The 27,536-nt window shown below is 43.0% G+C and overlaps 1 protein-coding gene across 5 annotated transcripts in view, besides 1 other annotated feature; it reads right to left on the bottom strand.

Annotated features, from left to right (window-relative positions):
- Positions 1-27,536, bottom strand: part of NLRP1 (NLR family pyrin domain containing 1) — an 83,114-nt gene that overhangs the window by 54,509 nt on the left and 1,069 nt on the right. For all 5 annotated transcript variants that reach the window (NM_001033053.3, NM_033007.4, NM_033006.4 and 2 more), the window contains exons 2-4: positions 26,766-26,942; positions 25,955-26,158; positions 2,435-4,139 (exon numbers count right to left, since the gene is read on the bottom strand). In NM_001033053.3, the coding sequence (NP_001028225.1) occupies positions 2,435-4,139; positions 25,955-26,158; positions 26,766-26,942 (2,086 nt within the window). The remainder of the gene's footprint in view (positions 1-2,434; positions 4,140-25,954; positions 26,159-26,765; positions 26,943-27,536) is intronic.
- Positions 5,695-6,196: an enhancer, noted in NCBI's record as "H3K4me1 hESC enhancer chr17:5464919-5465420 (GRCh37/hg19 assembly coordinates)". NCBI's record gives its function as "activates a minimal SCP1, AML or CMV promoter by ChIP-STARR-seq in naive H9 embryonic stem cells {active_cell/tissue: H9 hESC(naive)}" and the evidence as "EXISTENCE:reporter gene assay evidence [ECO:0000049][PMID:30033119]".

The following is a 27,536-nucleotide window of genomic DNA, read 5'->3' on the forward strand; positions in this document are numbered from 1 at the left end:
CAACATGGTGAAACCCCGTTTCTACTAAGACGACAAAAAATTAGCTGGGTGTGGTGGTGCGTGCCTGTAATCCCAGCTACTCTGGAGGCTGAGGCATGAGAATTGCTTGAACCTGGGAGGCAGAGGTTGCAGTGAGCAGAGATCGTGCCACCGCATGCCAGCCTGGTGACAGAGCAAGACTCTGTCTGTCTCTGTCTCTGTCTCTCTCTCTACACACACACACACACACACACACACACACACACACACACACACACATGAAGGGCTGGGCATGGTGGCTCACATCTGTGATCCCAGCACTTTGGGAGGTCAAGGTGAGCAGCTTGCTTGAGCCCAGGAGTTTGAGACCAGCTTGGTCAACACAGTGAAATCTCATCTCTATACAAAAAATATACAAAAATTATCGCTGCATGTTGGCATGCTCCTGTAGTCTCAGCTCCTAGCGGGGCTGAGGTAAGAGGATCCCTTAAACTCGGGTGGTCCAGGCTGCAGTGAGCTGTGATTGCACCACTGCACTCCAGCCTAGGGGACAGAGCGAGACTCCGTCTCAGACAACAACAAACCAAAAAAAAAAAAAAATACCCCACACCCACTCACAAGAAGATAGCCTTGATATATAAAGAAAATAAAACTGACTATAAAATAAAATGTACAATATGGTTCGATTTCGCCATAGACATGTGCACAGAAAAAAGACTGGGGTTCTTACAATTGACCACTAATTTTTTTTTTTTTTGAGACTGAGTTTTGCTCTTTTTCCCAGGCTGGAGTGAAGTGGCACAATCTCAGCTCACTGCAACCTCTGCCCCTGACCTGTCAAGTGATTCTCCTGCCTCAGCCTCCTGAGTAGCTGGGATTACAGGCGCCTGACACCATTTTCGGCTAATTTATGTATTTTTAGTAGAGATGGGGTTTCACCATGTTGACCAGGCTGGTCTCGAACTCCTGACCTCAGGTGATCCACCTGCCTCGGCCTCCCAAAGTGCTGGGATTACAGGTGTGAGCCACCACACCCAGCCAATTTTTAATGATGGTTATTACAGAATGATGGAATTCTTATTGATACTATTTTTCATCTTTTTGCTTATCTACGTTATCTTTTGTTTGTTTGTTTTTTGAGACGGAGTCTGGCTCTGTTGCCCAGGTTGGAGTTCAGTATCACGATCTCAGCTCATTGCAAACTCCGTCTCCCAGATTCAAGTGATTCTCATGCCTCAGTCTCCCTAATAGCTGGGATTACAGGCGTGTGCCACCATGCCCAGATAATTTTTGTATTTTTTGGTAGAGATGGGGTTTTGCCATGTTGGCCAGGCTGGTCTCGAACTCCTGGCCTCAAGTGATCCTCCTGCTTCAGCCTCCCAAAGTACTGGAATTACAGGTGTGAGCTACTTCACCCAGCCTACATATCTTTTTTTTTTTCCTATAATGAACATGAATTTTATTGTGAGAAAAAGTTTTAAAAATATAAATATGAAGGCCCACATCAAACATTTCTTCCTCTGAGAATCTTTATTACCCACTCGTGTGATCACTCCCTTCCTTGGGCCACCACAGTACCTTGTCCATACCTCTACTGTTGTAGACATCACACTCTGTTGTCATTAAATGAATGTTTGTCTTCTCCCCTATTTTTTGAGCTCCTTAAGGCACGTATTGTGCTTTTTAATCTGTGATCTGTAGGGCCTGGCATAGAATCAGTGCTTAATAAATACTTATGGAATGAATCATCTAAAGCAGGACATAGACACATACCAATAGCATGTGATCGATACCACGACAGAGGTCGGGGAACCGGGATGGGGAAGTTCTCAGTACTGCCGGGCTGGAGAATGGTTGGAGGAAGCTATTCTTGCACAGCCAGAGAGTGGGTTTCAGGTTGAGTGCGTGGGGCAATGGTGGCACCACGGTCACAAATAATTATGAAGTCAGTTTTGCAGGGAAAAATAGGAAACTCTTTTTGAGAGCTGATGGGGAAGATCTCAGGGCCAATGTCGTTGTCATGGAAAGGGTTCCTGAAGCAGCTGGAGGAGCAATTTCTCCGAGAGAATGAATGCCCAGAGAGAGGAGCAGGGGTAGGGGGGCTGCCTGATCCTTGGGGAGTGTGGGGGTAGCTAAGGTCAGCAGGAAGGTGGGAGCACGTCCAGGAGAGAAGATGGACGGTCATTCTAAGGGTAGGAGGAGAGGTGGCAGACACGGCAGGGCCCAGTGGCCTCTCCAGAAGCAAGCAGGGCCTGCCCCACAGCCGGGCACTGCAGAGGAGCTTAGGTAGACAGAGCATGGTGGTCAGATTGGGCAGTTAGAAGTCACTGGAGACCCTGATCCTTTAGCCACCCCCACCCCCGGCCAGGCTCAGTGAGCATGCCTCTGGTGCTCAGGTCACTCGGGCTTATGGACTGACAGAGGAGCTGCAGACATGGGTGGTTTGGGTACTCACAGGACTACCATGGTGGGGCTCCATGTTGATCTGTGCTGCCTGCCCTCAATCAGCTGAAGCTTCTTCACGTGGCGGCTGAATTTAATGCAGAAAGTGCACACTAAGAGCTCCATGTCTGTTTCTACACACATGCCCATTTCTTCGAAATGGGCCATCACTTGTGTCAGGAACGTTTTGTTCCGAGTCTCGTACAAGCAGTGGAGGGACTCCAGAGAGTGTGGCTGCAGCAGCAGCTGCAGGGACGGGACCCACTGCATCAGGTTCCTCCCCTGAGACAGCCGGCAGTGAAAGATGTTCTCCATCTCTCTCTCCCCCTCATCACTTAACAGGCCCAATAGGAAACGTGTGGTTGATGCCCCAAACAGGCCATGTATTCCATATGCTTCTAGCGTCTTTTCCAAATCTATGATGCAATTAGAATGTTTACCTCTCCCCTTCTCATCCTCCAAGACATAGGACATTGCTGCAAAGAACTCTTGGAAACAGAGGTGAATGAAGCTGTAGCTCAGAGGGATGGGGTGCTCTTGAAGAATACCCATCTTCAAGAAGGTGGAGATGATGGCCCCATCTAACCCATGCTTCCTGAGGTCATCTGGACTGAAAAGGGTCTTTTTTTGCCAGATGCCCTCAGCAGCCAGAGAGCAGAGGTCTCTGAGCTGGGGTCCCAATGGCTGAGCTTGGAGAGCCTGGGCAAGGTAATGTAGACAGAGGGTTGTGGTGGTCTTGGAAGTCAGTGTGAGTTTTTCCTTCCGCTTCATCTGCTGCATCAGGCAAGTGCAGGCCAGCCAGGACACCCAGGGCACAAGACACAGGGCCCAGAGCTCTTTGTTTGATTTGACCAACCTAAAGGCTCTAATTGCTTGCCTTTCATCTGTGAAATATCTGTAGAAATATTCCTTCCTGCTGGACTCAGAGAACCCCAGGACCTCTACCCAACGTGCCTGCTCCAAAGAAGGAATGAGGTTCTGCAGAGCTGTGGTCCGAGCCGTGATCAGGAAGGATGCCTCGGGAAGTATAGTTTTCCCCAGCAAACTGCCCAGCAGTGCATCCGCCGGCTGTGGCTGGCTCCAGTGCAGACAGAGCTCAGAACTCGGCTCCTGCAAGACCCATCCTGGCTCATCTACACCATCGAGGATGAAGAGCAGCCGCTCTGGCCTAGACAGGATCTGTCTAATGGGAGCCGGAGTGGCTGTCCCATCTTTTCCGATGAGCTCAGCGAGACTCACCACCTTGGACTGGGCCAGCTCTCTGCAGCTGAAGTAGAAGACATGCTGGAAGCGGTCCCCATACAGCTGGCCTCTCCCCCAGGCTTCCTTCACCTGCCTGGCCAGTGTTGACTTCCCAATTCCAGCAGCCCCCTGCAGTATGACTATGCGAGGTTCTTGGGTATCCAGGCCTGGGCCAAATAAGTCTCTGATCTCAATTAAATGTCCTCGATTCTCCTCCACATAATCAGGCCAGCTTCTCTTGACCAGGGGATCTTGGCTTCTGGGGTGAGGTCTTTGTAGAAGTAGCAGCTGTGTGAATTTTTGGTTAAAATCCTCATTTTTCCAGGGCCATGTGGAACAGAGGCTCTCTCTCACAGAAGGCTCCCATGGGTGGTGGTGGGGCTGTAGGCTGGTGTGCGCCTGTGGGGGCGTTCCTACCACCGCTGCCCATGGGGGCCTGCCTTTCTCTGATTTCTCTCTCTCTCTTTCTCTGATTTCTAAGTAAGGGAGGGAAAGAAGGAACATAAAGGTAGAGAATAGAAGAATTAATTAATTAATTAAACAACTGTTTTAGGCACCTACTCCAAGCCACACACTGCGCTGTCTGCAGACACTGGTATGTTCTTGCCATGCGGCGGAAGGACATGTGCTTTGGGGTAGAATATCCCAGTTCAAGTCTTGACTCAACTAAGTCACACTCCCTGAATGACTTTCCTTCACTGAATATTTATCAAGGGCTTACTCTGTGCCAGGTGCTGCTATAGGGGTTGGGGATAAAGAGTGAACAAAACAGACACAACTCTCAGTCCTCACTAAGCTTATGATGCTGGCCATTAGCCCCTATGAGCCTCAGTTTTCTCATCTGTAAGCTGGGGGTTGTAGGTCATGGAGGACTGGAGGAGACACTGGAGTGTGTAGCAGATGCTGACAGCATCCCAAGCACCTGCTATTGCAGTACCTGCCAATGGTGTCCCTCGGCAACAGCTGTGGTCATCTGTCTGAGGGCTCTTTCTCTGCCTGTAAGCCGGGTGGGCCAGAAATACTGGAGGATAGTTCTCCAGTCCAGGAGGTGCCCTTAGTGGATGACAGGTGGGGTCCCTTGCCCCCAGGACAGATAACACTCAGGCATGTTCTCACCGTCTCCCAGACAACCGCAGCAGCATGGAGCCTCAGTTGCTCACAAGGTAACCTGTTCCATAATCTACCTTTCCTGGGTTTCCCCGCCTCACCATTCTCTCTTGTTGATGAGTCCAAGAAATCACCTCCCCAGTAAGCCACCTGCAACCAAATCCGGTCTCAGGCTTCCGGGCGAGCCCGACCTGAGACTGATGGAAGATACCTCATGACCTGTGAGAAGCTGAGGTTATATACACCATTGTTTCCCAGGGAGGGACCTCAGGCTCCTATCTTAGTCAGATTCCAAATAGAACAACAGTTACAACCTCTTCTGTTCTTTTCTTCACAATATGTTCAGTGCCTCTCCCTTCTCTCCTTAGGTGAATTTCATTTTATTTTATTTATTTTTTTGAGGCAGAGTTTCTCTCTTGTCACCCAGGCTGGAGTGCAGTGGCACGATCTCGGCTCACCGCAACCTCCGCCTCCCAGGGTCAAGCGATTCTCCTGCCTCAGCCCCCAGAGTAGCTGGGATTATAAGTACCCGCCATCACGCCAGCTAATTTTTGTATTTTTGTAGAGATGGGGTTTCACCATGTTGGCCATGCTGGTCTCAAACTCCTGACCTCACGTGATCTGCCCGCCTCAGCCTCCCAAAGTGCTGGGATTACAGGCATGGGCCACTGCACCCAGCCTACTATCTTGTCTTTTACTCAAACAAGTTTTCCTACCTTTGCTCTTGATAGATCAAAAAGCATGCCATGTGGTTTTTTTTTTTTTTTTTTTTTTTTTTTTGAGACGGAGTCTCGCTCTGTCGCCCAGGCCGGACTGCGGACTGCAGTGGCGCAATCTCAGCTCACTGCAAGCTCCGCTTCCCGGGTTCACGCCATTCTCCTGCCTCAGCCTCCCGAGTAGCTGGGACTACAGGCGCCCGCCACCGCGCCCGGCTAATTTTTTGTATTTTTAGTAGAGACGGGGTTTCACCTTGTTAGCCAGGATGGTCTCGATCTCCTGACCTCATGATCCACCCGCCTCGGCCTCCCAAAGTGCTGGGATTACAGGCGTGAGCCACCGCGCCCGGCCCCATGTGGTTTTTATACTTGCCATGAAACTGTTCTTTGGGATATTATTTTGTTCAGGTTCCCCACTTGGACAGCAGAGGGGGTGACTCTGCCCATCCCTGCCACTGGTAGCCAGGCGGGCAATGTCTGCTAGCAGTCTGCTTCTGTCTGAACTCAGCCAGCAGAGGCAAACTCCCGGTTCCCCGAGAAACACTCTGAAGGCAGGGTGGGTGACTCCACCCACCACCGCCTCTCCTAGCCATGCAGGCCATGTCTGCTAGAGCTTCCAGCGCAGTGGTCCTAATTCTGTCTGAATCCGGCTGAGGGGTGCAGCCTCCTGTTACTGCCCAGGGAAACACCCAGATGGCAGGGTGGGTGACTCCAACCACCTCTGCCTGTGGTAGCCAGATGGGCCACACCTGCTAGAGCTTCCAGCCCAGCAGTCCCGCTACTCTGTGGGTGGGTGCCATCCCCTGTTCCTCTGGGAAGCACCCAGACAGCTGATTACGTGACCCCACCCACTTCTGCAGATCCTAGCTGAGCAGGACTTGCTGGTTTGGACAATGCCCAAGCAGGGAAGAGCCCTCATTCTCTTATCACTGACAGAGGTGAGATGTCCGAGTTTGTAGGCTGGTGGAGGAGTGAGGTGGAGGAGGTATGCCTCTCTCTGCAGGGCGGACCCAGCAAGGATACGGCCTGTCTGCCAACCACGGCCCCTGCCTGAAGGAACCCCGTTTACCAGAACACCCAACAAAAGAAATGCAGGTGTGGAGCCAGTAATCAGAAGGGTCTTGTCTAAGGCCCAGGAGTGGACTAAGTGAGAAGGTCACCCCCCTGTCCCCAACACACACAGAACACTACTGCCAACTGTACTGAAACATGAAGAACCACGCAGCAGAGTAAGAGTGTATCTCCTGGTGATCACTCTTAAGCACTGCCTACTGGATGGCGGCCCCAAAATACAACACCAAAATGTTTTGCAGTATTCAGTGCCATGAAAACTAAGGCAAAGGCTCCCACCAGTGCCCTGCCCCAGCCAACACACACGCACCCTGCCATGCCACTGTGGCTGGTGCCATGTGTGAGTGAGCACAGATCCTGCTGGCACTGCCACAAGGAAGCACTTTGGCCTGCACCCCCACTGGACTGTTGAGGCCAGCGGACTGGGAACACCTTGGCCCCTCTAATGCAGCAGGTTCTGAACCCCAGGAGGCCAGAGGAAAAGGCTGGGGACCCAGTACCAGCCTTCTAGAGTTAGAGCAGGCAGCTCAGGAGTGCTGAGCTGAGCCTTGGCCACCTGAAATCTTCCAGAATCGAAGCCAGTTGACTGAACCCACCTTATACGACAATCAAACCCCCAAGGGCTTCAAACAAGATAAAAACAAAACAAAAAAAACCCCATCCAAAGGAAGACAACTTCAAAGATTAAAGGAACATCAGCCCACACACACGAGAAAGAACCAGCTCAAGAGCTCTGGTAACTCAAAAAGCCACAGTGTCTTCCTATCTCCAGATGTGTGCACTAGTGCCTCAGCAATGGTATTTTAACAGGCTGAAATGGCTGAAATGACAGACATAGAATTCAGAATATGAGTAGGAATGAAGATCATTGAGATTCAGGAGAAAGTCAAAATCCAGTCCAAGCAATCTAAGGAATATGATAAAATGATACAGGAGCTGAAAGACGAAATGGTCATTTTAGGAAAGAACCAAACTGATCTGATAGAGCTGGAAATCTCACTACAAGAATTTCATAATACAATAGCAAGTATTAACAACAGGATAGACCAAGCTGAGGAAAGAATCTCAGAGCCTGAAGACTGGTTCTCCAAATTAACTCAGTCAGACAAAAATAAAAAAGAATGAAAACAAATGAACAACACCTCTGAGGAATATGGGATTTTGGAAAGAGACCAAATCTATGACTCGCTGGCATCCCTGAAAGAGCATGAGAAAGCCAGCAACTTGGAAAACGTATTTGAAGATATTGTCCACAAAAGTTTCCCCAACCTCCCTAGAGAAGCCAACATTTAAATTCAGGAAATGCAAAGAATCCTTGTGAGATACTATACAAGACAATCATCCCTAAAACACATAGTTCTCAGATTCCCCAAGTCCTCAGATTCTCCAAGGCCAACATGAAAGAAAAAACAATAAAGGCAGCTAGACACAGAAGGGGCAGGTCACCTAAAAAGGGAACCTCATCAGGCTAACAGTGAACTTTTCAGCAGAAGCCCTGCAAGGCAGAAGAGATTGGGGGCCTATATTCAGCATCCTTAAAGAAAAGAAATTCCAGCCAATAATTTCTTTTCTTTTTTAAAATTTTAAAATTATTTTTTAAAAATTTTGTGGATATGTAGTAGGTGTATGTATTTATGGGGATCCATGAGATGGTTTGATACAAGTAAGCACTGTAAAATAAGCACATCATGGAGAATGGGGTATGCAGCTCCTCAAACATTTAACCTTTGAGTTACAAACAATCCAACTATATTCTTTGTTATTAAAAAGTATACAATTAATTTATTATTGACTATAGTCACCCTATTGTGCTATCAAACAGTGGGTCTTATTCATTCTTTCTATTTTTTTGTACCCACTAACTATCCCCACCTTTCCCTCTTGCCCCCCACTACTTTTCTCAGCTTCTGGTAACCATCCTTCTGCTCTCTATGTCCATGAGTTCAATTGATTTGAGTTTTAGATCCCACAAATAAGTGAGAACATGTGATGTTTGTCTTCCTGTGCCTGGCTTATTTCACATAACGTAATCTCCAGTTTCATCCATGTTTGTTGCAAATGACTGGGACTCATTCTCTTTGATGGCTGAATAGTATGTATATGCACCACGTTTTCTATATCTGTTCATCTGCTGATGGACACTTGGGTTGCTTCCAATCTTGGCTATTATAAACAGTGCTGCCACAAACATAGAAGTGCATGTATCTCTTCGATATTCTGATTTCCTTTCTTTTGGATGTATACCCTGCAGTGAGATTGCTCAATTTTTAGTGTTTTTTTTTTTTTTTTTTTTTTAGACAGAGTCTTGCTCTGTTGCCCAGGCTGGAGTGCAGTGGCGCAATCTTGGCTCACTGCAAGCTCCGCCTCCTGGGTTCACACCATTCTGCTGCCTCAGCCTCCCGAGTAGCTGGGACTACAGGTGCCCGCCACTGCACCTGGCTAATTTTTTGTGTTTTTAGTAGAGATGGGGTTTCACTGTGTTAGCCAGGATGGTCTCAATCTCCTGACCTCATGATCTGCCCACCTCGGCCTCCCAAAGTGCTGGGATTACAGGCATGAGCCACTGCGCCCAGCCAATTTTTAGTTTTTTGAGGAAACTCCAAACTGTTCTCCATAGTGGTTGTACTAATTTACGTTCCCACCAACAGTGTATGAGAGTTTCCTTTTCTCCACACCCTCACAAGAATTTGTTCTTGCCTGTCTTTTGGATAAAAGCCATTTTAGCTGGGGTGAGGTGATATTGCAGTTTTCATTTGCATTTCTCTGACTATCAGTGATGTTGAATGCCTTTTCATATGCCTGTTTGCCATTTGTATATCTTCTTCTGAGAAACGTCTATTCTAATCTTTTAACTATTTTTTGATCGAATTTTAGATTTTTTCCTATAGAGTCATTTGAGCTCCTTATATATTCTGGTTATTAATCCCTTGTCTGAAGGGTAGTTTGCAAATACTTTCTCCCATTCTGTGGGTTGTCTCTTCACTTTGTTTATTGTATCCCTCACTGTGCAGAAGCTTTTTAACTTGACATGATCTTGTTTGTCCATGTTTGCTTTGGTTGCCTATGCTTGTGTGTTATTGCTCAAGAAATCTTTGCAGACCAATGTCCTGGAGATTTTCCCCAATGTTTTCTTGTAGTAGCTTCATAGTTTGAGGTCTTAGATTTAAGTTTTTAGTCAATTTTTTGATGTGTTTTTGTCTGGTTTTGGTATTAAGGTAATACTGGCCTCAGAGAATGAGTGTGGTAATAGTCCTTCCTCCTCTATTTTTTCGGAGTAGTTTCAGTAGGACTGATACTAGTTCTTCTTAAATGTTGGGTAGAATTTCAGCAGTGAAGCCATCCAGTCCTTGGCTTTTCTTCACTGTAAGGCTTTTTATTACGGCTTCCATGTTGTTACTTGTTATTGGTCTGTTTAGGTTTTGGATTTCTTCCTAGTTCAGTCTTGGTAGGCTGTATGTATCTAGAGATTTGTCCATTTCTTCTAGATTTTCCAATTTATTGGCATATAATTGCTCATAGCAGCCACTAATGATCCCTTGAATTTCTGCAGTATCAGCTGAAATGTTTCCTTTTTCATTTCTGATTTTATTTATTTAGATCTTCTCTCTTTTTTTCTTAGCTTGGCTAAAGGTTTGTCGATTTTAACTTTTCAAAAAATCAACTTTTTGTTTCATTGATCTTTTGTATTTTTTCTTTTTAATTTCATTTATTTCTGCTCTGATCTTTGTTATTTCTTTTCATCTACTAATAGTGGGTTTGGTTTGTTCCTGCTTTTCTCTCTTTAAGATGCATCATTAGATTGTTTATTTGAAGTTTTTCCTCTTTTTTGATATAGGCACTTATAGCTATAAACTTCTCTCTTAATATATCCCATAGGTTTTGGTATATTGTGTTTCCATGATCATTTGTTTCAAGAAATTTTTCTTTCTTTATTTTGTTCTTAATTTCTTCATTGACCCACTGGTCACTCAGGAGCATATTGTTTAATTTTCATGTATTTATGTAGTTTTCTAAATTCCTCTTATTATTAATTTCTAATTTTATTGCATTGTGGTCAGAGAAGATGCTTGATATTATTTCAATTTTTTGAATGTTTTAAGACTTGTTTTGTGAGCTAATATATGGTGTATCCTTGGGAATGATCCATGTGCTGAGGAAAAGAATGTGTATTCTGCAGCTCTTGGATGGAATGTTCTGTAAATATCTATTAGATCCATTTGGTCTGTAATGCAGATTAAGTTTCATGTTTCTTTGCTGATTTTCTGTCTGGAAGATACGTCCAATGCTAAAAGTGGGGTGTTAAAGTCTCCAGCTATTATTGTATTGAGGCCTATCTCTCTCTTTAGCTCTAATAATATTTCCTTTACATATCTGGGTGTTCCTGTGTTGGGTGCATATATATTTAAAATTGTTATATCCTCTTGCTGAATTGACTCCATTATCATTATATAGTGACCTTCTTTGTCTCTCTTTGTATAGTTTTTGTTTTGAAATCTATTTTGTCTGATACAAGTATAGTGACTTCTGCTCTTTTTTGTTTTCCACTGGCATGTAATATATTTTTCCATCACTTCATTTTCTGTTTATGTGTGTCTTTATAGGTGAAATGTGTTTCTTGTAGGGAACAGATCATTGGTTCTTGTTTTTTCATTCATTCAGCCAGTCTATGTCTTTTGATTGGATAGTTTAATCCATTTACATTACTTATTATTGATAAGTAAGGACTTACTCTTGCCATTTTATTATTTGTTTTCTGCTTGTTTTGTGATCTTCTCTTCTTTCTTTTATTCCTGTCTTCCTCTAGTGAAGATGATTTTCTCTGGTGATATAATTTGGTTTCTTGATTTTTATTTTTTGTGTATCCATTTTATGTTTTTTGGTTTGAGGTTACCATGAGGCTTGCAAATACCATCTTATAATCTATTATTTTAATCTGATAACAACACTATTTGGATAAACAAATAAACAAACAGGCAGAAAGAAAACTAATAAAAACTTAACTTCATTTCCCAGCTTTTTAAACTTTTTGTTGTTTCTATTTATATATTATTTTACTGACTGTGTCTTGAAAAGTTGTTGTAGTTATTATTTTTGATTGGTTCATCATCTAGTCTGTCTACTTAGGGTAAGAGAGGTTATACACCACAGTTACAGTGTAAAAATATTCTGTGTTTTTCGGTGTACTTACTATTATGAGTAAGTTTCTTACCTTCAGGTGATGATTGCTCATTAATGTTCTTCTCTTTCTGATTGAAGTACTCCTTTTAGCATTTCTTGTAGGATGGGTTTGGTATTGATGAAATCCTTCAGCTTTTGTTTGGGAAAATCTTTATTTCTCCTTCATGTTTGAAAGATATTTTCACCAGATATACTATTTAGGGTAAAAGTTTTCTTTCCTTCAGAACTTTAAATATGTCATGCCACTCTCTCCTGGCCTGTAAGGTTTCCATGAAAAGTCTGCGGCCAGATGTATTGGAACTCCATAGTATGTTACTTGTTTCTTTTCTCTTGCTGCTTTTAAAATCCTTTCTTTATCCTTGACCTTTGGGAGTTTGATTATTAAATGCCTTGAGGTAGTCTACTTTGGGTTAAATCTACTCGGTGTTCTAAAACCTTCTTGTACTTGGATATCTTTCCCTAGGTTTGGGAAATTTTCTCTTATCCCTTTGAATAAAACTTCTACTCCTATTTCTTTCACTACCTCCTCCTTAAGGCCAATAACTCTTAGATTTGCCATTTTGAGGCTATTTTCTAGATCCTGCAGGTGTGTTTCATTGTTTTTTTTATTCTTTTTTCTTTTGTCCCTTCTGTGTATTTTCAATTATAGCCTGTCTTCAAGCTCACTAATTCTTTCTTCTGCTGGATCCATTCTGCTATGAAAGGACTCTGATGCATTCTTCAGTATGCAAATTGAATTTTTTCAGCTCCAGAATTTCTGTTTGATTATTTTTAATTATTTCAATCTCTTTATTACATTTATCTGCTAGAATTCTGAATTCCTTCTCTGTGTTATCTTGAGTTTCTTTGAATTTCCTCAACACAGCTATTTTGAATTCTGTCTGAAAGGTCACATATCTCTCTTTCTCCAGAATTGGTCCCTGATGCCTTATGGTGAGGTCATGTTTTCCTGGATGGTGTTAATGCTAGTAGATGTTCTTCAGTGTCTGGGCATTGAAGAGTTGAGCATTTATTGTAGTCTTCACTGTCCAGGCTTATTTATAGGCAGCCTTTTTGGAAAGGCTTTCCAGATTTGAAAGGACTTGAGTTTTGTGATCTAAGGCATTTCTGCTTTAGAGGGCACCCTAAGCCCAGTAATGCTGTGGTTCTTGCACAGTCATAGAGGTACCACCTTAATAGTCTTAGACAAAATCTGGTTGAATTATCTAGGTTACCAGGCAGAGACTCTTGTTCTCTTTCCTTACTTTCTGCCAAACATACAGTCTCTGTCTCTTCTAAGCCACCTAAAGCCACCTTTAACCTCATTAGAAAGTGACACAAGCACCCCCGTGGCCACCTACCACTATGACTGTGCTCCAACCAAGAATTTCATATACAGCCAAACTAAGCCTTATAAGCGAAGGAGAAATAAGATCCTTTTCAGACAAGCAAATGCTAAGGGAATTTATTACCACCAGACCTGCCTTACAAGAGGTTCTTAAGGGAGTGCTAAATATGGAAACAAAAGACCATCACTGGCCACCATAAAACACACTAAAGTACACAGTCCACTGATACTATCAAGCAACTACAAAATCAAGTCTGCAAAATAATCAGCTAACAACATGATGACAGGATTAAACTCACACATATCGATATTAATCCAAATGTAAATGGGCTAAATGCTCCCATTAAAAGGCACAGAGTGGCAAGTTCAATAAAGAAGCATGGCCCAACTGGATACTGTCTTCAAGAGATCCATCTCACATGCAATGACATTCATAGGCTCAAAGTAAAGGGATGGGGAAAAATCTACCAAGCAAATGGAAAACAAACAAAAGCACGGATTGCCATTCTAATTTCACACAAAACAGACTTCAAATCAACATCAATCAAAAAAGACAAAGAAAGGCATCACATAATAATAAAGGGTTCAATTCAACAAGAAGACTTAACTGTCAGGAATATATATGCATCCAATACAGGAGCACCCAGATTCATAAGACGAGTTCTTAGAGACTGATGAAGAGACTTAGATAACCATATAGTAATAATGGGAGACTTCACCCACTGACAGTATTGAACAGATCATCAAGGCAGAATACTAACAAAGATATTTGGGACCTAAATTCGACACTTGACCAAATGGGCCTAAGAGACATCTACAGAACTCTCCACCCCAAACAACAGAATATATATTCTTCTCATTTGCACATGGCATATACTGTAAAATCAACCACACAATCTGCCATAAAAAGTTCTCAGCAAATTTTAAAAAACCCAAATCATACCAGCCACACTCTTGGACCACTGCACAATTAAAAAAAATCAATACTAAGAAGATAGCTCAGAACCATACAATTCATGGAAATTAAACAACCTGCTCCTGAGTGGCTTTTGGGTAAACAATGAAATTAAGGCAGAAATAAAGAAATTCTTTGAAACCAATTAGAACAAAGATACAATATGCCAATTCTCTGGGACACAGATAAAGCAGTGGAAAGTTTATAGCAGTAAATGCCCATATCAAAAAGTTAGAAAAATCTCAAATTAGCAACCTAACATCACAAATAGAAGAATTAGAAAAACAAGAGCAAGATCAATCCCAAAGCTAGCAGAAGACAAGAAATAACCAAAATCAGAGCTGAACTGAATAAAATTGAGATGGAAAAAACCATACAAAAGATCAACAAAACCAAAAGTTCATTCTTTGGAAGAATAAATAAGATCGATAGACCACTAGCTAGACTAATAAAGAAAAAAAAAAGACAGAAGATCCAAATAAACACAACCAGAAATGACAAAGAGGACATTACCATTGACCCCGTGGAAATATAAAAAACCCTCAGAGACTATTACGAACACCTCTATATACAGAAACTAGAAAAACCTACAAGAAATAAATTCCTAGGACTGAACCAGGAAGAAATTAAAACTCTGAACAGAGCAATAACGAGTTCTAAAATTGAATCAGTAATAAAAATTCTAACAACCAGAAAAAGGCCAGGACCAGAGAGATTCACAGCTGAATTCTACCAGACACATAAAGAAGAGCTCGTACAATTTCTACTGAAACTATTCCAAAAAATTGAGGAGGAGGGGACTCCTCTCTAACTCATTCTATGAGTTAGGTATCATTCTATGAGTTTGGTATCATTCTGATACCGAAACCTGGCAGAGACACAACAAAAGAAGAAAACTTAAGGACAATATCTGTGATGAACATAGCTGCAAAAATCTTCAGCAAAATACTAGCAAACTGAATCCAGCAGCACGTCAAAAAGCGAATTCACCACAACCAGATAGGTTTTATCTCTGGGATGCATGTTTGATTCAACATATGCAAATCAATAAATGTGATCTATCACATAAATAGAAGTAAAAAAGCCCCCACATGATCATCTCAATAGATGCAGAAAAAGCATTTGATAAAATTCAACATCCTTCAATGTTAAAACTCTCAACAAACTAGACATTGAAGGAGCATACCTCAAAATAATAAGGGCCATTTATGACAAAACCACAGCCAACATCACACTGAATGGGCAAAAGCTGGAAGTATTCTCCTTGAGAACCAGAACAAGACAAGGATGCTCATTCTCACCATCTATTCAACATAGTACTAGAAGTCCTACCCAGAGCAATCAGGTAAGAGAAAGAAGTAAAAGACATCCAAATAGGAGGAGAGGAAGTCAAAGTATCTCTGTTTGCAGATGTTATGATTTTATACCTAGAAAACCTCCTAGTCTCTGTCCCAAATCTGCTAGATCTAATAAACAACTTCAGCAAAGTTTCAGGATACAAAATCAATTTCTTCTATTGGGTAGTAAGTATTATGTAACATTGTGCAATAAGCACCAAATCAAGAATGCAATCCCATTCACAATAGCCACAAAAAAGTACCTAGGAATACATCTAACCAGGATTGTGAAAGATCTCTATAGCAAGAACTACAAAACACTGCTGAAAGAAATCAGAGATGATACACACACAAATGGAAAACATTCCATGCTCATGAATAGGAATAATCAATATTGTTAAAATCGCCATACTACTCCAAGCAATTTACAGATTCAATGCTATTCCTAGCAAGCAACCAATGACATTCTTCACATAATGAGAAAGAAATTCTAAAATTAATATGGAACCAAAAAACAGCCCAAATAGCCAAAGCAATTCTAAGTAAAAAATAACAAATCTGGAGGCATCACATTACCTATTTTTAAACTATACTACAAGGCAACAGTAACCAAAACGGCATGCTACTGGTACAAAAACAGACACATAGACCAATGGAACAGAATAAAATGCCCAGAAATAAAGCTGTATATCTACAACCATCTGATCTTTGATAATGTTGACAAAAACAAGCAATGGGGAAAGCATTCCCTATTCAATACGTGATGCTGAGATAACTGGCTAGCCATATGCAGAAGACTGAAACTGGACCCCTTCCTGATACTATATACAAAGATCAATGGAAGATGGATGAAAGTCTTAAACGTAAAACCTAGAACTTTAAAAACCCTTGAAGAAAACTTAGGAAATACTATTCTGAACATAGGTCCTGGCAAAAATTTCATGAGGAAGATGCCAAAAACAATTGCAATGAAAACAAAAATTGACAAATGGGACCTAATTAAACTAGAGAACTTCTGCACAGCAAAAGAAACTACCCACAAAGTAAATAGACAACCCACAGAATGGGAGAAAATATTTGCAAACTACCCATCTGACAAAGTTGGAATATCCAGAATCTATAAGGAACTTAAACACATTAATAAGCCAAAAACAATCCCATTAAAAAGTGGACAAATGGCCAGGCATGGTGGCTCATGCCTGTAATCCTACCACTTTGGGGACTGAGGTGGACAGATCACTTGAGGTGAGGAATTCGAGACCAGCCTGGCCAACAGACCATCTCTACTAAAAAATACAAAAATTAGCTGGGCGTAGTGGTGCACACCTGTAATCCCAGCTACTTGGGAGGGTGAGGCAGGAGAATCCCTTGAGCCCGTGAGGTGGAGGTTGCAATGAGCAGAGATCTCACCACTGCATTCCAGCTTGGATGACAGTGTGATACTTTGTCTCAGAAAAAAAAAAAAAAAAAAGTGGACAAAGGACACCAATAGACTCTTCAAAAGAAGACATACACATGGCCAACAGCATATGAAAAAATGCTCAACATCACTTATTATTAGCAAAATGCAAATTGGGGTGGTTCCAAGATGGCCGAATAGGAACAGCTCCGGTCTACAACTCCCAGGGTGAGCAGCGCAGAAGACAGGTGATTTCTGTATTTCCAACTGAGGTACCAGGTTCATCTCACTGGGGCTTGTCAGACAGTGGGTGCAGGACAGTGGGTGCAGCCCACCGAGCATAAGCCAAAGCAGGGCGAGGCATTGCCTCACCTGGGAAGTGCAAGGGGTCAGGGAATTCCCTTTCCTAGCCAAGGGAAGCTGTGACAGATGGCACCTGGAAAATTGGGTCACTCCCACCCTAATACTGCACTTTTCCAACGGTCTTTGCAAACGGCACACCAGGAGATTATATCCCGTGCCTGGCTCAGAGGGTCCTGTACCCACGGAGCCTCACTTATTGCTAGCCAGCAGTCTGAGATTGAACAGCAAGGCGGCAGTGAGGCGGGGGGAGGGGTGCCCACCATTGCTGAGGCTTGAGTAGGTAAACAAAGCAGCTGGGAAGCTTGAACTGGGTGGAGCCCACCGCAGCTCAAGGAGGCCTGCCTGCCTCTGTAGACTCCACCTCTGGGGGCAGGGCATAGCCAAACAAAAGGCAGCAGAAACCTCTGCAGACTTAAATGTCCCTGTTTGACAGCTTTGAAGAGAGCAGCGGTTCTCCCAGCATGGAGTTTGAGATCTGAGAACAGACAGACTGCCTCCTCAGGTGGGTCCCTGACCCCCGAGTAGCCTAACTGGGAAGCACCCCCAAGTAGGGGCAGACTGACACCTCACACAGCCGTCTACCTCTCTGAGACGAAGCTTCCAGAGGAAGGATCAGGCAGCAACATTTGCTGTTTAGCAATATTCGCTGTTCTTCAGCCTCTGCTGCTGATACCCAGGCAAACAAGGTCTGGAGTGGACCTCCAGCAAACTCCAACAGACCTGCAGCTGAGGGTCCTGACTGTTAGAAGGAAAACTAACAAACATAAAGGACATCCACACCAAAACCCCATCTTTATGTCAAAGACCAAAGGTAGATAAAACCACAAAGATGGGGAAAAAACTGACCAGAAAAGCTGAAAATTCTAAAAATCAGAGCGCCTCTCCCCCTCCAAAGGAACATAGCTCCTCGCCAGCAATGGAACAAAGCTGGACGGAGAATGACTTTGATGAGTTGAGAGAAGAAGGCTTCAGAAGATCAAACTTCTCCGAGCTAAAGGAGGAAGTTCGAATCCATCACAAAGAAGCTAAAAACCTTGAAAAAAGATTAGACAAATGGCTAACTAAAATAACCAGTGTAGAGAAGTCCTTAAATGACCTGATGGAGCTGAAAACCATGGCACGAGAACTACGTGAAGAATGCACAAGCTTCAGTAGCCAATTCGATCAACTGGAAGAAAGGGTATCAGTGATTGAAGACCAAATGAATGAAATGAAGGAAGAAGAGAAGTTTAGAGAAAAAAGAGTAAAAAGAAACGAACAAAGCCTCCAAGAAATATGGGACTATGTGAAAAGACCAAATCTACATCTGATTGGTGTACCTGAAAGTGACGGGGAGAATGGAACCAAGTTGGAAATCATTCTGCAGGATATTATCCAGGAGAACTTCCCCAACCTAGCAAGGCAGGCCAACATTCAAATTCAGGAGCTACAGAGAACACCACAAAGATACTCCTTAAGAAGAGCAACTCCAAGACACATAATTGTCAGATTCACCAAAGCTGAAATGAAGGAAAAAATGTTAAGGGCAGCCAGAGAGAAAGGTCGGGTTACCCACAAAGGGAAGCCCATCAGACTAACAGTGGATCTCTCGGCAGAAACTCTACAAGCCAGAAGAGAGTGGGGGCCAATATTCAACATTCTTTTTTTTTTTTTTTTTTTGAGATGGAGTCTCGCTCTGTCACCCAGGCTGGAGTGCAGTGGCATAACCTCGGCTCACTGCAAGCTCCGCCTCCCAGGTTCATGCCATTCTCCTGCCTTAGCCTCCTGAGCAGCTGGGACTATAGGTGCCCGCCATCACGCCCGGCTAATTTTTTTTGTATTTTTTAGTAGAGATGGGGTTTCACCATGTTAGCCAGGACGGTCTCGATCTCCTGACCTCATGGTCTGCCCATCTCGGCCTCCCAAAATGCTGGGATTACAGGTGTGAGCCACCACGCCTGGCAATATTCAACTTTCTTAAAGAAAAGAATTTTCAACCCAGAATTTCATATCCAGCCAAACTAAGCTTCATAAGTGAAGGAGAAATAAAATCCTTTACAGACAAGCAAATGCTGAGAGATTTTGTCACCACCAGGCCTGCCCTAAAAGAGTTCCTGAAGGAAGCACTAAACATGGAAAGGAACAACCGGTATCAGCCACTGCAAAAACATGCCAAACTGTAAAGACCACCAATGCTAGGAAGAAACTGCATCAACTCATGAGCAAAATAACCAGCTAACATCATAATGACAGGATCAAATTCACACATAACAATATTAACCTTAAATGTAAATGGGCTAAATGCTCCGATTAAAAGACACAGACAGGGAAATGGGATAAAGAGTCAAGACCCATCAGTGTGCTGTATTCAGGAAACCCATCTCACGTGCAAAGACACACATAGGCTCAAAATAAAGGGATGGAGGAAGATCTACCAAGCAAATGGAAAACAAAAAAAGGCAGGGGTTGCAATCCTAGTCTCTGATAAAACAGACTTTAAACCAACAAAGACTAAAAGAGACAAAGAAGGCCATTACATAATGGTAAAGGGATCAATTCAACAAGAAGAGCTAACTATCCTAAATATATATGCACCCAATACAGGATCACCCAGATTCATAAAGCAAGACCTTAGAGACCTACAAAGAGACTTAAGACTCCCACACAATAATAATGGGAGACTTTAACACCCCCCTGTCAACATTAGACAGATCAACGAGACAGAAAGTTAAAAAGGATATCCAGGAATTGAACTCAGCTCTGCACCAAGGGACCTAATAGACATCTACAGAACTCTCCACCCCAAATCAACAGAATATATATTCTTCTCAGCACACATTGCGCTTATTCCAAAATTGACCACATAGTTGGAAGTAAAGCACTCCTCAGCAAATGTAAAAGGACAGAAATTATAACAAACTGTCTCTCAGACCATTCAGTGCAATCAAACTAGAACTCAGGATTAAGAAACTCACTCAAAACCGCTCAACTACATGGAAACTGAACAACCTGCTCCTGAATGACTACTGGGTACATAACGAAATGAAGGCAGAAATAAAGATGTTCTTTGAAACCAATGAGAACAAAGACACAACATACCAGAATCTCTGGGACACATTTAAAGCTGTGTGTAGAGGGAAATTTATAGCACTAAATGCCCACAAGAGAAAGCAGGAAAGATCTAAAATTGACACCCTAACATCACAATAGAAAGAACTAGAAAAGCAAGAGCAAACACATTCAAAAGCTAGCAGAAGGCAAGAAATAACTAAGATCAGAGCAGAACTGAAGGAGACAGAGACACAAAAAACCTTTCAAAAAATCAATGAATCCAGGAGCTGGTTTTTTGAAAAGATCAACAAAATTGATAGACCGCTAGCAAGACGAATAAAGAAGAAAAGAGAGAAGAATCAAATAGATGCAATAAGAAATGATAAAGGGGATATCACCACCGATCCTACAGAAATACAAACTACCATCAGAGAATACTATAAACACCTCTACACAAATAAACTAGAAAATCTAGAAGAAATGGACACATTCCTGGACACATACACCCTTCCAAGACTAAACCAGGAAGAAGTTGAATCCCTGAATAGACCAATAACAGGCTCTGAAATTGAGGCAATAATTAATAGCCTACCAATCCAGACGGATTCACAGCCAAATTCTACCAGACGTACAAGGAGGAGCTGGTACCATTCCTTCTGAAACTATTCCAATCAATAGAAAAAGAAGGAATCCTCCCTAACTCATTTTACGAGGCAAGCATCATCCTGATACCAAAGCCTGGCAGAGACACAACAAAAAAAAAGGAATTTTAGACCAATATCCCTGATGAACATTGATGCAAAAATCCTCAATAAAATACTGGCAAACCGAATCCAGCAGCACATCAAAAAGCTTATCCAGCATGATCAAGTGGGCTTCATCCCTGGGATGCTAAGGCTGGTTCAACATACGCAAATCAATAAATGCAATCCAGCATATAAACACAACCAAAGACAAAAACCACATGATTATCTCAATAGATGCAGAAAAGGCCTTTGAAAAAATTCAACAGCCCTACATGCTAAAAACCCTCAATAAATTAGGTATTGATGGGATGTATCTCAAAATAATAAGAGCTATTTATGGCAAACCGACAGCCAATATCATACTGAATGGGCAAAAACTGCAAGCATTCCCTTTGAAAACTGGCACAAGACAGGGATGCCCTCTCTCATCACTCCTATTCAACATAGTGTTGGAAGTTCTGGCCAGGGCAATCAGGCAGGAGAAAGAAATAAAGCGTATTCAATTAGGAAAAGAGGAAGTCAAATTGTCCCTGTTTGCAGATGACATGACTGAATATTTAGAAAACCCCATCGTCTCAGCCCAAAATCTCCTTAAGCTGATAAGCAACTTCAGCGAAGTCTCAGGATACAAAATCAATGTGCAAAAGTCACAAGCATTCTTACACACCAATAACAGACAGAGAACCAAATCTTGAGTGAACTTGCATTCACAATTGCTTCAAAGAGAATAAAATACCTAGCAATCCAACTTACAAAGGATGTGAAGGACCTCTTCAAGGAGAACTACAAACCACTGCTCAATGAAATAAAAGAGGACACAAACAAATGGAAGAACATTCCATGCTCATGGATAGGAAGAATCAATATCATGAAAATGGCCATACTGCCCAAGGTAATTTATAGATTTAATGCCATCCCCATCAAGCTACCAATGACTTTCTTCACAGAATTGGAAAAAACGACTTAAAAGTTCATATGGAACCAAAAAAGAGCCCGCACTGCCAAGACAATCCTAAGCCAAAAGAACAAAGCTGGAGGCATCATGCTATCTGACTTCAAACTATACTACAAGGCTACAGTAACCAAAACAGCATGGTACTGGTACCAAAACAGAGATATAGACCAATGGAACAGAACAGAGCCCTCAGAAATAATACCACACATCTACAACCATCTGATCTTTGACAAACCTGACAAAAACAAGAAATGGGGAAAGGATTCCCTATTTAATAAATGGTGCTGGGAAAACTGGTTAGCCATATGTAGAAAGCTGAAACTGGATCCCTTCCTTACACCTTATACAAAAATTAATTCAAGATGGATTAAAGACTTAAATGTCAGACCTAAAACCATAAAAACCCTAGAAGAAAACCTAGGCAATACCATTCAGGACATAGGCATGGGCAAGGACTTCATGTCTAAAACATTCAAAGCAATGGCAACAAAAGCCAAAATTGACATATGAGATCTAATTAAACTAAAGAGCTTCTGCACAGCAAAAGAAACTACCATCAGAGTGAACAGGCAACCTACAGAATGGGACAAAATTTTTGCAATCTACTCATCTAACAAAGGGCTAATATCCAGAATCTACAAAGAACTCAAACAAATTTACAAGAAAAAAACAAACAACTCCATCAAAAAGTGGGTGAAGGATATGAACAGACACTTCTCAAAAGAAGACATTTATGTAGCCAACAGACATATGAAAAAATGCTCATCATCACTGGCCATTAGAGAAATGCAAATCAAAACCACAATGGGATACCATCTCATACAAGTTAGAATGGTGAATATTAAAAAGTCAGGAAACAACAGGTGCTGGAGAGGATGTGGAGAAATAGGAACACTTTTACACTGTTGGTGGGACTGTAAACTGGTTCAACCATTGTGGAAGACAGTGTGGCAATTCCTCAAGGATCTAGAACTAGAAATACCATTTGACCCAGCCATCCCATTACTGGGTATATACCCAAAGGATTATAAATCATGCTGCTATAAAGACACATGCACACGTATGTTTATTGTGGCACTATTTACAATAGCAAAGACTTGGAACCAACCCAAATGTCCATCAATGATAGACTGGATTAAGAAAAAGTGGCACATATACACCATGGAATACTATGCAGCCATAAAAAAGGATGAGTTCATGTCCTTTGTAGGGAAATGGATGAAGCTGGAAACCATCATTCTCAGCAAACTATCGCAGGGACAAACAACCAAACACCGCATGTTCTCACTCATAGGTGGGAAATGAACAATGAGAACACCTGGACACAGGAAGGGCAACATCACACACCAGGGCCTGTCGTGGGGTTGGAGGAGGGGGGAGGGATAGCATTAGGAGATATACCTAATGTAAATGATGAGTTAATGGGTGCAGCACACCAGCATGGCACATGCATACACATGTAACAAACCTGCATGTTGTGCACATGTACCCTAGAACTTAAAGTATTAAAAAAAAAAAAAATAAGATCACCCTCCCTGATGTGGGTGGCTCTCATTCCATCAGTTGAAGGCCAGAATAGAATAAAAAAAGAGACCTTCTCTGGAAAAAAAGAAAAATGCAAATCAAACCCATAATGAGGTACTATTCTACACCAGTCAGAATGGCTATAATTTAAAAGTCAAAAAATAACAGATATTGGTGAGATTGCAGAGAAACAGGAACACTTATACACTGCTGGTAAGAATGTAAATTAGTTCAGCCACTGTGGAAAGGAATTTCGCGATTTGCCAAAGAACTCTGAACTATCATTCAATCTAGCAATCCCATTATTGGGTATATACCCAAAGGAATGTAGAGCATTCTACCATAAAGATGCATGTACATGTATGTTTATTGCAGCACTAGTCACAATAGCACCAGTATGGAATCAACCATACTGCTAAAGAAAATGTGGGACATTTACACATGGAATACTACACAGCCATAAAAATGAATGAGGTCATGCCTTTGCAGCAACTTGAATGGAGTTGGAGAGCATTATAAGTGAACTAACACAGGAACAGACAATGAAATACCGCATGTTCTCATTCATAAGTTAGAGGTAAACATTGCGTACACATGGACACATAAAAGGAACAATAGACACTGGGACCTTTTGAGAGTGAAGAGTGGGAGAAGGGTAAGGATTAAAAAACTACCGGGCCGGGCGCGGTGGCTCACACCTGTAATCCTAGCACTTTGGGTGGCTGAGGTGGGTGGATCACCTCGGATCAGGAGTTCGAGACCAGCCTGACTAACATGGTGAAACCCCATCTCTACTAAAAATACAAAAAATTAGCAGGGCTTCGTGGCGGGCACCTGTAGTCCCAGCGACTCGGGAGGCTGAGGCAGGAGAATGGCGTGAACCCGGGAGGCAGAGCTTGCAGTGAGTGGAGATCACGCCACTGCACTCCAGCCTGGGTGACCGAGCAAGACTCTGTCTCAAAACAAAACACAACAAAAAACAAAAAACAACAAACAAAAAACAAAAACAAAAACAAACAAAAAACCCAACCTAACAGGTACCATGCTTATTACCTGGGCGACAAGATAATCTGTACACCAAACACTTGTGACACATAACTTACCTATATAACAAACCTGCACATGTGTTTCTGAAACTAAAATAAAAGTTTGTTGTTGTTTTTTTTTTAAGTTCCCTATTTGAAGAATTCCCTTAGAATTTAGAATCAGGGAAAAATGTTATTTCCCTTGCATTGGTCTTTTCTATTGAGTAACAGGTATTGTGTAACCCATTATATTTCCCCTTTTGCCAGTGTTGCTAGAATGCCCACAATTGATGGAAACTTTATTTATAGCAATGAGGTAGTCTTTGTGGTTTTCATACTTGTTTTTTTCACTTTTAAAGTTACTGCATTTTTATGCTTCTATAGATGGCTCTGATATGTCTTTATATTCTTCCTATCTTCCTTCTTTTCTGTTTTTCAGTTTTAATTGTCTTTATTGTTTGGATTTTTTAATTCACAAAATAATTCTGAGAAAAAGTTATCTTTGTGATTCTCAAATATAGAAAGAAACAACTTAAAGTATTAGAATCTTCCTTTCTTGACTTTCTGTTTTCCTTAGTTTAACTCGAATGTTGATCTTTCCTTATATACCCTATCAAGATTTTTAAAACATGAGTTTATTTATTTTTTATTTTAGACTCACGCGGTATATGTGCAGGTTTGTTACATGGCTTCTTTTTTTGAATGGCAAGTGGTGTGAGTAATTAAGTAAACTGATATACTTTGAGCCTAGGCCATATACGACCACAAAATCTACAAGTTCACTCCTTGCTGGGTGCAGAAGAAATCCTTTTAACTTAAAACCTCTCAGATTTCAAAGGAGGCATCCTCCGGCATTGAGAGGCAGCATGGTTCAGTGGTTAAGGAACCTGTGGCATCAGGAGCCTCTGTACCTGTGGCTTTAGTATGACTGTCCTTATTGCCCAGATGAGGGCACTCCCTGTGTAAGAGTTAAAAGTGTGGATTGCTGCGTGAGAGAGAGTGAAGGCTGAATTCCATCTTTGCTAGTACTAACTGTGAGACTATCTTTTTAATCCTTGGTTTTCTCATCTCCAGGGTATGATAATAGCAATATTTATCTCACGGAGTGGTTGTAAAATTTAAGTCCAATGTACACGTAAAGCCCTGGACATGGTCTAACCCAGAGAGTGTCCAGTGAGCACTGATGGGCATGGGACTAGCTGTAGGCCACTTGTGGGGTGAGGAGCTCAGTGGAAATTGAACCCAGCTCTCCTGACCCCAGGCCAGTGCCCTGTCCAGTAAACCAGGTGATGTGTAACCCCATCCAGGCTCCCCTCTCCTTGCTCTGTTGTCCCCCAGATGTGCTGGGTAACACATCTGTATTTTAATGTCCAGGTGCCTCCTGGAAACAGTGCCTTGGACCAGTGGAGAGGCTCCAAGGGTGGGATTTCCTGAGGGAAATTTCAGATGTTTTCCAGAACCTCTGCTTAGCCTGCCAACCTGGTCCCCAGGGGACTCTTTGTCCATACATTTGCCTCTCCCACCTCACCACCCCGCCAGGAGCTCAGTAGGGTCTCACCTGTGTAGTAAATTCCTGACGTTTCATCCAGAGGCCATTGGGTCCCAGGAGCCTCCTGCTCTCTGGGTGCTAGGCTGGGCTGAGGTGGGGATCCCCAGCTCCCCAGCACTGCTGTGGATGTGGGGGCGTTGGGTGACTCCTGGCTTGGAGACTCATGGTCTGGGGAGCTTGGAAGAGCTTGGTAGAGGAGTGAGGCAGAGATTTCTGGGGGGAATGAAAAGAAAAATAACCATTTACTGAACATTTATTTTCTTTTAGGTGCATATATTTTAAACTCTCACAACAGTCCTGAGAGATGGGTCTTAATAATATTATTTTGAAAACCATGTTGAAGTAGAGGGGCAATTTTATTCTCTTAGTAGTGAAGAGAGAAGTCATGTGAGGGAGCTGGCTTGGGCCGAGGACTAAGCCTAGCCTCTTCTTGGGGTCTGTCTGGAAAACAGAGTCCTCCTTGGAACTTCTGGACCACCCTGACCCTAAGGATCTTCAGAGCCCATCAATATTATGAGCTGAGTTCTCGGGCAAGGACCATGTCACGAGTTGGGCACCCAGTTGGGGAAGACTCATTGCCTGACCCACATGGGTCTCAGCTTCCCCATCTGCCACATGGGGAGGGATGCAATCTCAGCACCGGAAGGTCCCTGAAAGATCAATTTCAGGCCTACCTCTCACAGCCCATCCTGGCTCCCCTATCCTTCCTCTGCTGTCCCCCATGTCAGGTCCCCATGCACAGACATGATCCTCTGGGTGGGGCCCACCAGCTGATTCACAGCTCCACCCAGGGCTGTCAGCCTGCCTCAGCAAGCCTCACCTCTCCAGCGGCGTCCAGATGTGTCAGGCAGCTGTCTCAAAACCCTTCTCTCTGAGCCCTGGGTGCACCCCGCCGGCAATTCATGGATCCAGGGCATTAGCACTGCGGTGGAGGTGGGTTGGCTGGGAGACCCCAGGTGGGGTTCACTTGGGCTGTAGGGGAATGAGGGAGAGTGGCCTACAGGAAAGAGACAAAGAGGTTGGAGACACATCAGAGGGGCAGGGGCAAGGTGCCAGGGAACTGAGCTGGTCTCCTCTCTCAACCAAGAGAGGTCAGGATACACCAGTGAACCCGCTGCAGCCCTCTACAACTTCCTCTAGAGGCTTGTCTGAAGAATGATGTTCTTATAGATACTGCTAGGCAAAAAATCCTCATCTAGGATCAGGAAATTTGCATATCTGTCTTGGTCCTGACTATCTCCCTGTGTAAATCACTACTCCTACTGAGCCTCAGCTGTGCTTTATTGGGCCAACGGCATCTGCAACCCAGGGTGGCTAATAGTAATAATAACAGCAGCAGCAGCAGCAGCAACAACAGCAATGGGAGATCTTATTTATTGAGCACTTACTGTATATCAGACTCTGTGCTAAATGTTTAACCTGGATGATCTCTTTTAACCCTCACACAGCCCAGGGAGGCGGGCTCTCACTCTCCCATTTTGCAGACAGAGAAATAGGCAGAGAGCAGTGAAGTGATTGGCCCAGGGTGATAGTGCCAGGACTGGTGATAGTGCCTGACTCCCAAGTCCGTGCTCATAACTACAATGCCAGG

This window comes from Homo sapiens, chromosome 17 (assembly GCF_000001405.40).
Source record: "Homo sapiens chromosome 17, GRCh38.p14 Primary Assembly".
NCBI lineage: Eukaryota > Metazoa > Chordata > Mammalia > Primates > Hominidae > Homo > Homo sapiens.